Here is a 15358-nt window from a genome sequence, read left to right as displayed (position 1 = left end):
CATATTTGTAAGTGATACATACATGTTTGCTGAAATAATGAATTAATTTTCTCTGGGTGCAAAATATCAAAGAAAATATAAATAATGCTAAACTATGCACAAAGGAAAGACATATAATCAATACATGTGATCAATAGCACAGAGCTGATATTGGTGCCTTTACACAACACATTTCTCTGGGTGCCAGAGAAAAATCTGAAATGTATTTCCTCAGGAATGGGAGTGACTTTTACTGGGTGGCTCTGTATGTTGATGAATATAGTCCTATGCAAATGAAACAGGATTAACCTGAAATGACACCTTCAGACCTGCGGCTGTTTGGTCTAATGCTGTCACTGACCTCCCTTATTTGTTCTCTTCCCTTGTTCCTTTAGAAATAAATTTTTAGAAAGATGATGTTATTACTTTATAAAAATGATGCATGCTTATTACAACAACTTTACTCAATACAGAAAAGAAAAAAAAAACTAATACCACCTGGAAAGACATTAATACTAGATGTACATAATTCAAGGCATCTATGCCTATATACATATATATAAACTGAAAGATAAATATATTTGTAAAAATAGTATTATACTGTACATACTATTTTAAAAACATAAATTGTTACCTTTAAGTTTATATTTAATAGGGAATGAAAGTAATAGTGGAACTTCAAATAAATGTTTCTGCATAAGAGATATTAATCTCTGAGAGCCCATCCAAGTTTTTTAAAATTATAAACATGTAAAAAATTAGAGACATATTTTTTAAAGACACACTTTACTTTTGAATAGTAACAATTGGCTCCCAGTTTTCAATATGAGGAAATTATTGCATTTCCACTTTGACACTGTGTAATAAACGTAAATTTTGTTATTCAGAAATTTTTAAGTTGATAAAAACATAGTAGCGCTTACATTCTGTTATGTATTAATGATTTCCATTGTATTTAGTCTTCCTGTGGCTTTTCCACTTCTGATCTCAGTTTAAATAATCTTCTGATTGAATCTAACCATCTTTTGTTGAAGAGAACTTCAACATTCCCTGAGTCTTTATAGACTCGAGAACATTTGCTAGTTGCCTTAATAATACATTAATATGGCCAAATACAGAATTTGATCGCACTTTTTTTTCTCTTGGAGTTTTATACACATTGCTTCATGGTCTTATGATACTGAGTGAACATGACTGTCACCAAGACTTTCCCATTCATGACTTTGTTGGCTTGATTTCTTTGCATGGTGCTTTTCTTTTTTCCAACTAGGGCTCAAGAGTGCTTTAGTCCCTGAATTCTTTAAAATTTGAAAGTGTCTACTTGCCTTTATACTGAATGCCAGCATGACAATAATATGCATTACTTTGGGGTCTTTCCACACCCTTAGCTCCACTGTGAAGCAAATCACTCATATCTACCTCTTCAAACCTCAACAGTATGAGATAGGAAATGTATTACTCTGGGTAGAAACAAGTCTCAGACCAAGTGTTGAAAAGTGCCCCCCTCACAATGTTTTCCCCAGCCTCTAGGCAGCCCCAATGATGAATATCTGGCCTGTGTCTGGTTGTTTGTTCAGGTAGATGTCCTCTCATCTCTCTAAGATGTTAACTGAAGGCTTAAATCGAAGTGTAAGTTAACATAGTTTAGACATGATTCTCCCAAATGGTGTTACTAAGAAATACTAACTAGTATTTCTTCTGTGAGTCAGTCAACAGACACATCTGAGCAAATATTTATTGAGCATCTTCACATGCCAGGTACCATTATCTGTGACAGGGAAATGATATTGAATAAGATAGAAAAAACTGCTCTTGTGGAGCTTAAATTCTAGTGAGATCCTTGAGAAAACTGCAATGAGTAGTATAGTTCTAGTGAGCTCTTTGTTGGTATTTGTTGAATGAATACATGTAGGCATGCATTATTGAATGGTGGTTAGTCCACTGGACTGCTAAACACACTCTGAAGGGGTCTGTTAAAAATATAGCATTGGGGAGGCCGAGGTGGGTGGATCACCTGAGGTCAAGAGTTCGAAACCAGCCTGGCCAACATGGTGAAACCTTGTCTTTACTAAAAATACAAAAATTAGCTGGGTGTGGTGGCAGGCACCTGTTATCCCATATACCCGGGAGACTGAGGCAGGAGATTGCTTGAACCCAAGAGGCGGAGGTTGCAGTGAGTGGAGATCGCACCACTGTACTCCAGCCTGGCGACAGAGTGAGACTCCATCTAAAAAAGTAGCTCAAGACCGGGCTTATACTTGCCTAGTGGAAAATAAAATTGTGTTCTAAAGCTTCACATTGCTCCACTGTGTTGTCGTTAAATGTGCCTGGGACAAAGTCTGAAGCTAGCCTAATTTTTCTTCCTCTTGTCTGATAAATGAGTTGCTTTTTTACTTGGATGCCTGAAGAATTATTATAAATATCTCGGGAGTAGCATAACTCACCCAGGATATGCCTGACAGTTTATTCATTGCTTCATATTAATTTTTCTTGTAGTAGAGTATGCTTTTTCCTCTGCAGATGCAATTCTTCCTTCATTTCAGGAATCTTTTCTTCATAGGCATTATTTTTTCCTCTGAATACACTGTGGTAATCTTGATGCTTCTCTCTAGAAGCAGTTTCAGTTCAACTGTATTATGTTCATTGCTATTTCTAATTTATTTAGAAGTTGATCATCAGTTTTGAGTGATGTTCTGGTCTTTAGAGTTTTTCCACTGCAATTGTGGCTCATCGTTTTGTGGTTTTATTTCTTCTTGTGTTATTGTAGTCATATGATTATTATATTTTCTTTTAAAAAACTATGTGGAAAATTTTATTTTTTAGATTATGTTCCTTTATTAAGTTTTAGATGGTTTCTATATTGCTATAGTCCTTTTAATTTATCTTTTCAGACATAAAAGTTCTGGCTAAATCATAAAATATCATCAGTTGTTATTGTTATTGCTTTTAGTATGTTGTCTAGGTCAACTAATGGTATCCGGTATCCTTCATATATATAGATATGAAGGATATATATGTATCAATAAGGAAACACTTATAATCAATAGTGATAATTTTCTCATAAATCTCTTTAGAATATATTTTAGTCTCTTTAGTGGTTGCATGTGAGTTTAAGTTAGAAAAGAATAGTGGTCACATGGAATATTGTGAAGAATTTCTCTAGTTATAACTAGTTTTTCTCAGTGGTATTGATGTTTGCATCTTCCAACCAAATATCTCTACTACAGTTAGGGAAAGCATGAGAACTGTCAAATTTTTTGACATATGGGTAAATGACATGTTTCACCCAATGTTTCTATTTATTTTTCTTAGCACTTACTGCATGTGAATTACTCAAACACCATCTTGAAAGGGTCATGTCTAAACTATGTCACTGACACTCCAACTTAAGCTTTCAGTTAACATCTTATATGAGATGCAGTGAGTAGAGATTGCACCACTGTACTCCAGTCTGGGCAACAGAGTGAGACTCCATCTAAAAAAGTAGCTTTAGTGCTTTAGATGAGATGGACATCATCTACCCGAACAAGTAACCAGACTCAGGCCAGATACTGCCTATAGGCTGGGGAAGACATTTTGAGGGGGGCACTTTTCAACACTTGGTCTGAGACTGGTTTTTACCACTAGTAACACATTTTCTAGCTTATACTGTTGAAGTTTAAAGAGATAGATATGAGTGATTTGGGATCATCAGAAGTCTAGTATTTATAAAATTTAGCATTAAAAATATCATAAGTACTAATTTAGTCACCTGTTCTATAGACAAAGAAAAAACAGAAATCAGGAGAACCTTCCTTCCAGAAATGTGGTTTTCTGATAATTACCCAATGAGAAAACTCTAGGAAATTGCATTTCTTAATTTATTGGCACAAACCTTTGCTGTAGTAAACTTCACTTTTGTTATGGTTATAAATAAATTATATTTTTATGAGGCTTACTACCTTAATAGTTACAGATATAATTTACTGAGAATTTACTTTTATTCTAGCCAATGTTATACATTTTATAACATTTTTCTAAAATGTATACTATGTTATGCATTTTATACTTTTTCCATATTCAATTTTTATAAGAACTATGTGCATCTTATTTCCGATTCATAGATAAGGTAGTGTATGTATAGAGGATTTAAGATATTTGACAAGATCACAGATATGGCAAGCCTCAGAGCTACGGTTTTAATCTAGTTATCATCCAACCCTAAAACACTAGTAGTATTTCTTCGGTGCATCAGTCAAGAGACAAACATTTATTGAGCATCGTCCACATGCCAGGCACCATTTTCTATGACAGAGAGATGACATTGAATACAGTAGACAAAAACTCTGCTATTATGAAGCTTAAATTCTAGTGAGGCCTTTGAAAAAACTGCAATGACTGGTGCAGCTCTAGTGAGTTCTTGGTGGGTGTGTATTGAATGAATACATGTAGGCATGCATGTTTGAATGGTGGCTAGTCCATTGATCTATCAAACACTCTGAAGAGGTCTGTTGAAAATGTAGCATTATTCAGATAAATGCAAACCAAAACTACACTGACATCATCTCACCCCCGTTAAAATGACTTATATCCAAAAGACAGGTAATAAAAATTTCTGGTGAGGATGTGGAGAAAGGGAACACTTGTAAACTGTTGGTGGAACTAATTTACACTCCCACCAATAGTGTATAAGCCTTCCTTTTTCTCCACAACCTTGCCAGTAACTGTTATTTTTTTACTTTTTTATTATACTTTAAGTTCTAGGGTACAAATGCACAACGTGCAGGTTTGTTACATATGTATACCATGTTAGTGGGCTGCACCCATTAACTCGTCATTTACATTAGGTATATCTCGTAATGCTATAGTTGGAAGTAAAGCACTTCTCAGCAAATGTAAAAGAACAGAAATTATAACAAACTGTCTCTCAGACCACAGTGCAATCAAACTAGAACTCAGGATTAAGAAACTCACTCAAAACTGATCAACTACATGGAAACTGAATAACCTGCTCCTGAATGACTACTGGTACATAACGAAACGAAGGCAGAAATAAAGATGGTGGAAGACAGTGTGGCAATTCCTCAAAGACCTAAAGACAGAAAAACCATTTGACCCAGCAATCCCATTGCTGGGTATATACCCAAAGGAACATAAATCATTATATTATAAAGACACATACACACATATGTTCACTGCAGCACTATTTACAATCTCAAAGACATGAAATCAATATAAATGCCCATCAATGATAGACTGGATAAAGAAAATGTGGTATATATACACCATGGACTACCATGCAGCCATAAAAAAAATGAGATCATGTCCTTTGCAGGAACATGGTTGGAGCTGGAGGCCATTATCCCTAGCAAACTGACAGAAACAGAAAACCAAACACTGCATGCTCTCACTTATAAGTGGGAGCTAAATGATGAGAACATATGGACCCATAGAGGAGAATAACACACACTGGGGCCTATTGAAGAGTGAAGGATAGGAGGAGAGAGAAGATCAGAAAAAAATAACTAATGGGTACTAAGCTTAATACCTGAGTGATTAAATGATATGCACAAGAAACCCCCATGACACATGTTTATCTATGTAACAAACTTGCACTTGTACCCCTGAACTTAAAAGTTAAAAAAATTAAATATCTGAAGTTTTTTTTAGACAGTAGGCTATATCAGCAACAAGGACAAAGATCTCTGAATTTTTGAAGCTTACATTCCAGTAGGAAACACAGTTAGTAAAAGAAAGAAATAAATACATATATTACATAAAATATTAAAAAGTTGTATTATGGGAAAATTAAAAGGAATAGTTGGGCAAGAGAGTGCAGAGTGCTGAATGTGGAAGGTAGGTAAAATACAGAAAATATCCAGCAGAATAAATCTTTTACTCTATTAGGATAGGTGGAAATATTTGTTTCATATTATCACCTTTTCCACCTCCTGCAGGTGGGATAACATTTTTTCACTCTGCTGTCCCTTCCAATAATTTGCAATACACTTTGGTTTGTTAATTGGTGTGTTTAAAAATATGTTTCTATTCTTTGTTTAAATTCATTTATTAAAAAATGTAAGGCTGAGTGCACTGGCTCGCACCTGTAATCCCGACACTTTGGGAGGCCAAACCAAAGTGTTGTGGGGATAGCTTGAGCCCAGGAGTTCGAGACCAGCCTGGGCAACAAAGTGAGACCCCCATATCTACAAAAAATTAAAAGGTAGCTGGGCATGGTGGTGCCCACCTGTGGTCTTAGCTACACAGGAGGCTGAGGTGGGAGGATTGCTTGGGCCCAGGATGTTGAGGCTGTAGTGAACCATGTTCACACCACCATGATCTAGTGTGGGTGACATAAACAAACACACAAATGAATGAACAAAAAATGTAACTAAGGAATATGATGTCACACAAATTTTGATATGTCTTTATTCAGTATATGGAGACTTATTTTCTTCTTTAAATATTGCAGAGTGCTGAATGTGGAAAGTGAAATATGGCAAATATTCAACAGAATAAATCTTTCACTCTGTTAAGATAGGTGAAAATACTGATTTCCATACTTTATTTTGGTTGTATTTATAATTGTATAATTGACATAAGTTGTTTTGGCACTCTCCATTCATTTACCCTTCTCCTGTTGCAAATATCCCAAATACTTCTGCCTCACTCTGAGTCATGCGGTTTTGAAGAGGCTTTGGAGCGTCATGTGACCTAAATTCTGCCTCAATTGGTAAATTCATCACTGTAGCATTGATGATTTTTCAGGGATAAGTACAAGCTTAATTCTGGCCAGGAAAAGTCAGACTCAAGATTTTAGTTTGAAATTGTTTGAAGAAAAAGAGATTCTCTTTTCCTTTTCACTTGAACTTAAGATGATGCTGAAGCTGGAGCCGCTAGAGTCATCTGCTACATTGGGAAACCTGAGAATAGAGTCAATAGAGAGAAAATACTGGTGAAAGATGAAGAGAAAAACTAGTTATTGTTGATATTGTTGTGGCTGTTTCAGTAACATGAACCAAAAATACTCCCCTTTAAACTCCAGCCACTGAAGTTAGGAGGTTTCATACTTAAAATGTAAAGACCACTTCTCAGCTGTTGTTAGGAGCGGCTGAATCACTGTTTGAGCCAGGAGATCTCAGTTCCCCTTAACTCTGCCTTTGATTATCTGCACGGCTTTGGGTCAATCACTTTATTCTCCAGTCCTGGCTGCCAAACGTGGGAGTTAGGTGAGACATTCTCTCTGATACCTTCTAGTTCGATCATTCTGTAAAGCAGGTTAATGTGAGCATGTGACTAAAAACACCATGACATGCCTTGAAGTTCTCCCAGACGAGAACACTTGAATTCTGTCTTCTATCAGCTGTTCACAGAGGAGGATCCAGAACTCATTTGCACAAGTGCCTGGCTTAACTCTGTTAAAGTGTTGGTACCTTCTGCTAAAACAATCATCAAGTGGCTCTGGGACATATGCTGGAGCCTGCCCAGTCTCTGATGCATGGTCCAGCACTGAGCCAAAATATGTTTCCAGGAGAAACATGGTCATATGGACTGCTTAATTTCTATTCCTTGAAAATGTCACAGTTTTTTTCCTATGTTAGAAAATTGCTGTGGAATGACTTTTGAAAAATTCCCAGTAGTGAATTAAATGAAACCTTTGAGAAATGTTGACTGTGGTTGTAAAAAATTAAGTTAAACAAGCCTAAGAGACACATATTCCCATGCATTTTGCCATGTTTAGAGGCCATTCGCTTCAATAGAAATGTGTGGGGAGCCTACTGTCTCCGTATATGGCCTCTAAAGTCAGACTTGCCATTTTATCTTAGCTTTGTGGCTTGACCTCTTACCAGCTGGGTGAATTTGGTCAAGTCACTTAACCTTTCTAGGCTTCAGTGGTCTCTCCTATTAAATGAAGATAGTAATATTATATATCTCTTAGGATTCTTGAGGATAAAAATTCTTGAGGAAAAATACAATACTGAGTAGAGTGCCCAGCATTTAGGAAATATTCATTAGCACATTCAAGAAAGACACCTGGTTATAATATTATATTATAAATATTTACATATGCATACACATATATATCACATTTGTCATGTACACATACACATATATGTATTTTACATGTATTATATGCTATCTTTATTGAGTAGTGAATGTGTTACCATTGTATTTTTTTCTTGTTATTTCACATATATATCTCTATAAAAGTAAAAATTCAGAAGTAGCCTGTTTTATGGCTTGTAATATAAATTATCTTATTGTCCATCTAAATGGATTATAACAACTGAATAACTTCCAATTTAAACACCTCATTGTCTACCATGAGGAAAAATCATATAAATTTAGCTCTAAACATTGGCTTGCCTATATAACACCTGACTTGAAGTTTCAGGGATCATGGCAAATACAACAGCAAATGATGTGTTATAGGATGCACAACTCTGCCAACACCAATTGCATATATTTTTCCATTGTGTCTTTAAATGCCAATAAGATTTTTTTGTTTGCTAAAATATCATTCTGTTACTGTGAGAAGTGAAAACAAAACACTGTCTTCTGAGGCATCATTACTTATTGAGAAACAAGAGTTTTATATAACCATTTAACTCATCTATCCTGTGGAGATCTAAAGATCACGTTTAACTAGTTTTCCACTTCTGACTTTCTGCCTCAATTTTAATAAACTATTGAGTATGGGCTAGCCTCCAAGTCTTAAATTCACACATAGTAGTGAACAGTTATATAATTGTCATTTTACTAACAACTCAATAACAAGAACTTTTATATGTTTCCATAGATATTACCTAAAGAATTTGAGATCTATTTTTATATTTTCTGTTGATTACAAAGTTTCAAATAGGCAGATCGAAATCTTTGTTCAGTTCTATTTTATAATGGTTAACATTTTTAGAAACAAACACAAAAAGTGGTATAAAACTTTAGAACTTACTAATTCCAATAATTTACTAAAATTATTCACTAAGCTCTGGTTTAAAAATTTAAAGAAAAACATTGAAAATTTGTATTATTTTAAAAAATTCTATTGTTTAGTGTTTGTCTCTAGTTAGACACACATTATACAAGAGAAATAAATTTTGGCACCCCTGGTAAAGCACTACTCAGGGAAAAAAATAGGAATTTATTCTTTTTCCTACCTTTCATGATTAGAATTCATCGCCCTTTCTTCCATACAGTCCTGACTTCCCAGGGTTTCACATATTTATGGAGGACCTTTTGAATAGCAGCCATCAGTTTTAGGTGCTAAATTTACAAAGAGAAATTATATATGACCTCTTTGCCCTGTTTTTCATCCTTTTCTATCGGAAGAACTATTCATCCTTCAACTCTTAGGTGGAAGATTCTCTCCTTCAAGAAGCATTCTCTCTTTAGGCAGCCTTGATAGTGCTACGTCTCCCTTGAACTCTCAATATATTCTGTACAAAGAGCTACGTAATCTATAGCACTTTAGAGCCTTGATTTGCTTACATGCCTGTATTCCCCTGATAAGCTTCAGGTCTCTAGGAAGTGATGACTTTGTTTTACTTGACTTTGACTTTCCCACCTAGCATTATGTTTTTCAAAAAGCAGTTACATTATTTATTTGAATGCATGATAGAATAACTGAGCTTACAGCCTAATCTAGTTCTACACGGTGATACTGTCTCCTGGGATGATTCCATCTTTCCGAAATGTAAGACCTCCTAAATCCCAGAAAAAGGAAAAAATATATTAAATCTCTTCACTCTGAGCGTATTTTCAAAAGTTAGTTAATTTATTACTATGTTGACAGATGATGCAGATTTTGCTTAAATTTTATTATATGAAACTGATTGTAAATTCACAGAGGGTTGTAAAGATACTATAGAGAAGTTCTGTGCCTCAGTTCATCCAGTTTCCTGTAATGATTACATCTAATACTGCAATAACGCAGTATAAAAACCAAGAAATTAGCATTGGTACAACATATGTATATAGTTCTATGCCATTTTATTGCTTGCAGATTTGTGTAAACACTATCACTATTAAGGTAAAAAATTATTCTAACAGTAACATACCTCTCTATATCCCTCTATAGTCACACCCATCCTTTCCTGCAACTATCCCTAACAATTGGTAAACAACATTTTGCTCTCTGTCTCCATAATTTTGTAATTTCAAGATCATAATCTAAGTGGAATCATATGTATCATACCATCATCACATTGTTCACATACAATTTATCACAGTCAATTGTTGCAACACTTTTTAAGTTGAAGTGTAGCAACCTTACCTGCCTTTATACTCCTTTAACATCCCTTATTTATAATATGAATGTTTTGAATATTTTCCCTACATACATTTAGAAGATCAGATGGTGATTTAATTATTACTTCAACTGTCAAATATAATTTAGAAAACTCAAGAATAAAAGAAATGTCTATTATATTTACCTATAGTCTTACTTTTTCTATTTTTCTTTCTTGCTTTCTGATGTTCTAAAATTCTTTTATAATTTGTTTAGCAAATTTTCTTTAGCCATTTCATTACAGTAGGTCTGCTAGTGAAAAATTACAGTAGTCTTTCTTCATCTGAGAATGTCTTGATTTCCTCTTCATTAATGAAGGATATGTCAGTGGATATAGGATCTTAAGCTGACAGTTATTTTCTTCCAGTACTTGAAAAGTATTGTGTCACTTCCTTTTCACCTCCACAATTTTTGATGAGAAATCTGCTGTCATTCAAAATGTTTTTCCCCCATAGGTAAGATTTTTTTCCTACTGCCTTCAAGATTTATATTTGTTTTTAGTTTTTAGAAATTTCATTATGATGTGTTTTGGCATGGATTTCTTGGGTGTATCCTGTTTGGGGCTTACTCAGCTTCTTGAATCAGGTAGATTTACATATTTTCTACCATTTCAACCATTATTTTTAAAAATACTTTTTCAGCTCCTCTGTGTTTCTCCTGTTCCTCCAGAATTCTGTTAACATGAATTTAGAGCTATTGTTATAGCCTTCCAGGTCCCTAAGGCTTTGTTTATTTTTTTAACAGTCCACTTTCTTCTGTTGTTCAGGTTGAGTAATTTCTATTATTTTATCTTCAAGATCACCAATCCATTCCTCTGCCTCCACCATTCTGCAGTTAGGTTCATCTATTGAGATTTTATTTTGGTTATTATATTTTTTATTTCTATTTAGTTATTTTCTAAAAACTTTAATTTTAGGTTCAGGGGTACATAAGCAGGTTTGTTATATAGATAAACTCATATCACTGGGGTTTGATATACATATTTTCACTGAGGCACTAAACCTGGAACCCAATGGTTATTTTTTCTGCTCTTCTCCCTTCTCTCATCTTCCACCCTCTGGTAAGTCCCAGTGTCTGTTGCTCCCTTCTTTGTGTCCATGTATTCTCATAATTCAGATCCCACTTATAAGAACATAAAATATGTGGTTTTCTGTTCTTGCATTAGTTTGTTAAGAATAAAGGCCTTTGGTTTCATCCACGTTCCTGCAAAGGACAGGATATTTTTCTTTTTATGGCTTCATAGTATTCCATGGTGTATATGTACCATGTTTTCCTTATCCAGTCTACCACTGATGGACATTTAGGTTGATTCCATATTTTTGCTATTGTGAACAATGCTGCAATGAACATATGTGTGCGTGTGTCTTTAAAGTAGAATGAGTTATATTCTTTTGGGTATATACCCAGTAATGGGACTGCTAGAACAAATGGTAGTTCTGTTTTTAGCTTTTTGAGGAATCGCCACACTGCTTTCTACAATGATTGAACTAATTTACACTCCCACCAACAGTGTATAAATGTTCCCTTTTCTCTGCAACCTCACCAGCATCTGTTGTTTTTTGACTTCTTTATAATAGCCATTCTGACTGCTGTGAGATAGTCAAATGTGGTTTGCCAGCACAGGAGCTATGATGCAGCCCCCCAGGAAGTATTTGGGATGTAGCCCCAGGAAGTATCTGGGGCTACACTGCAAGCAGATGTGTCTAAGCAGGATGAGAATGAAAATCTAGACTCCTTACTCAACCTTCTGACACTACCCCAGAAGAGGCCAGCAGACTAAGGTGTGCTCGTTGGACTGGCCTGGTCTCATGGGCAAAGCCACCCTGAAGTTTTGGTCAGACAGCTCCCTTATGGCTAAAGTATCCTATGAGAGCAAGTTGAGCCCAGCGGGATGGGTGTCCCTGGGCATGCACCACTACAGATGCTCCCACATCAAGCTCTCTGTGATTGCCCTGGCTGGAGAACTGACTTGAGTTCTGCCTCTACCACTTCTCTAAGCAGCTTTCCCTGAAAACTCGGGTGTTTGTGGTGGTAGAGAGGTCTCCACCTGCTGGGATTCCAGAGGCCCATGGCTAGAGTGGGTTGTTCCTTGCCTGTTCAACTCATCCCCTCTGCAAGAGTCATTGGGAGCCAGGAATGAATCCCAGTTAGCAGTAGACCTGTGCGGGGTTCCCAACTTCCTAGTTATTCTTTACGTCTTCTGTTTCTTTGCTGATTTTTTTTGGATTTGTGTCAAACATGTTCATAATTTCTTTGAAGCATTTTTGTCATGACTATTTTAAGATTCTTGTCAGATCATTTAATATCTGTTTCATCTTGGCATTTGTATCTGCTGATTGTCTTTTTTTATTTTTTATTGTTTGAGACAGGGTCTCACTCTGTCACCAAGGATGGAGTATAGTGGCATGATCATGGCTCACTGCAGCCTCATACTCCTAGGCTCAAGCAGTCCTCCCACCTCAGCCTCCAACAATGCTGGGTTTATGGGCTGATTGTCTTTTTTTTAATTGTAGGAACACTTAACATGATATCCATCCTCTTAACAAATTTTAAAATGTGAAATAAAGTACTGTTAACTATAGGCACAATGTTGTACAGCAGATCACTAGAATTTATTCATCTTGTTTAACTGAAATTTTGTGCCCATTGATTAGTAGCTTACCACTTCTCCCTCCCTACTAGACTCTGGAAATCACCATTCCACTATTTAATTCTATGAATTTGCCTATTTTAGGTACTTTATATAAGTGGAAACATATAGGAGTTGTTCTTTTGTATCTGGTTTATTTTGCTTAGTTTAATGACTTCAAGAATTAACCCACTTTCTCACATACTGCAGAATTTTCTTCTTTTTTTAAGACTGAATAATATTCTATTGTATGCCTGCCTTTCCTCTTTCAAGTTGAAATTATCTTTTAATCAAATTGTAAGCAAGACAAGTAATATTTGAATTTGAACATTTGGGGTTTTATGTTATGAGACTTCAAATCTTACTTAAATATTTCTTACCTCCTCTGGAACCATGCACTCTATGGAAGGGGCACTGCCTTTTTACTGCCAGAAGAGGGTGGAAGTTTATGTTCTTCACTCAGCATCTTTTGACACCATGGGAGGGGACAGGCTTTTCATAACCGCTTGACAGGGATGGGAGTTTTAACTTCCCACTAGTTCACCACGGATGCCTACCTGGCTGGGAAGGGTGGGGTGCCTCATTACTTTTTCCCACATGGCCTCCACTGATTCTTTGGGAGAGATGGCCTGGTTACCTCTGGGCAGTGGTAAAAATCCCGACTCTCCACAGGTCTCCACTGACATTACCGTTGTAGTGAAAGGAAGGGAAAGTTGACCTTGTTACCACCTGAGGAGGATGAAAATCTAGACTCCTTACTCAACCTTCTGACACTACCCCAGGTGGGAAGTTGGGGCACCTGGCATGGATAGAAGTCTGGGCTCTGCACCTGCCTTGTGCTGGCTGTTAGTGGAGGCACCACATAGTATTTTCAATAGGTTTGGCTGAAATAAAGAGGTTATTATCTAAAAGTTTTCTGTCTTTCTGGGCTTCCTGTCTTCTGATTCTTGAGCTAGGGAGAAGAAGCTTTTCTTTGTGCTTCTTTTTTGTTTGTGCCTGTTGGTGTTTCACAGTTGTTGGTTTCTCTAACACTCAGTTCAGAATATATGGGCTAAAAAGGCAATCCAGGTAACTCACTGCTGTGTCCTTTCTTAAATTCTGAGGTTTGCAGCCTGTCTACCTTCTTCTTTCTACCTTTCAGCGTCTTCTTATGTTTGTTTTATATATAATGTACAGAGTTTTCAGCTGTACTTAGCAGGAGTAATAGAGAAAGTACCTGAAGGTTTATTAAGATTTTAATATATTTAAAGAATATTATTGTAAAACAACTAACTATAGGAGGCTTTAAAGTTATTTCTTTTCAATTATTTCAAAGAACAACAACTTTAAAAAAGATCTGAATAGCTAAAGAAAACATACTATGCTTTAAGTTTTAGGGTACATGTGCACAATGTGCAGGTTAGTTACATATGTATACATGTGCCATGCTGGTGCGCTGCACCCATTAACTCGTCATCTAGCATTAGGTATATCTCCCAATGCTATCCCTCCCCAACTCCCCCCACCCCACCACAGTCCCCAGAGTGTGATGTTCCCCTTCCTGTGTCCATGTGTTCTCATTGTTCAATTCCCACCAATGAGTGAGAATATGCGGTGTTTGGTTTTTTGTCCTTGTGATAGTTTTCTGAGAATGATGATTTCCAATTTCATCCATGTCCCTACAAAGGACATGAACTCATCATTTTTTATGGCTGCATAGTATTCCATGGTGTATATGTGCCACATTTTCTTAATCCAGTCTATCATTGTTGGACATTTGGGTTGGTTCCAAGTCTTTGCTATTGTGAATAGTGCCACAATAAACATGCATGTGCATGTGTCTTTATAGCAGCATGATTTATAGTCCTTTGGGTATATACCCAGTAATGGGATGGCTGGGTCAAATGGTATTTCTAGTTCTAGATCCCTGAGGAATCGCCACACTGATTTCCACAATGGTGGAACTAGTTTACAGTCCCACCAACAGTGTAAAAGTGTTCCTATTTCTCCACATCCTCTCCAGCACCTGTTGTTTCCTGACTTTTTAATGATCGCCATTCTAACTGGTGTGAGATGGTATCTCACTGTGGTTTTGATTTGCATTTCTCTGATGGCCAGTGATGGTGAGCATTTTTTCATGTGTCTGTTGGCTGCATAAATGTCTTCTTTTGAGAAGTGTCTGTTCATGTCCTTCGCCCACTTTTTGATGGGGTTGTTTGTTTTTTTCTTGTAAATTTGTTTGAGTTCATTGTAGATTCTGGATATTAGCCCTTTGTCAGATGAGAAGGTTGCGAAAATTTTCTCCCATTTTGTAGGTTGCCTGTTCACTCCGATGGTAGTTTCTTTTGCTGTGCAGAAGCTCTTTAGTTGAATTAGATCCCATTTGTCAATTTTGTCTTTTGTTGCCATTGCTTTTGGTGTTTTAGACATGAAGTCCTTGTATACATATGTAACTAACCTGCACATTGTGCACATGTACCCTAAAACTTAAAGTATAATAATAA

General features: G+C 36.2%; 2 long non-coding RNA genes across 2 annotated transcripts in view; one reads left to right on the top strand and one right to left on the bottom strand.

Annotated features, from left to right (window-relative positions):
• LOC105377858 (uncharacterized) overlaps positions 1–15358 on the top strand; it is a 140187-nt gene that overhangs the window by 37148 nt on the left and 87681 nt on the right. The window lies entirely within an intron of this gene.
• The window catches only part of LOC101928516 (uncharacterized), a 621277-nt gene continuing 612409 nt past the window's right edge, over positions 6491–15358 (bottom strand). The window contains exon 4 of the long non-coding RNA NR_110856.1: positions 6491–6881. This is a non-coding gene — a long non-coding RNA (uncharacterized LOC101928516). The remainder of the gene's footprint in view (positions 6882–15358) is intronic.

Source organism: Homo sapiens, chromosome 6, assembly GCF_000001405.40.
Source record: "Homo sapiens chromosome 6, GRCh38.p14 Primary Assembly".
Lineage (NCBI taxonomy): Eukaryota > Metazoa > Chordata > Mammalia > Primates > Hominidae > Homo > Homo sapiens.
The sequence above is the reverse complement of the archived record's forward strand: the minus strand, read 5'-3'. Positions and strand labels throughout refer to the sequence as shown.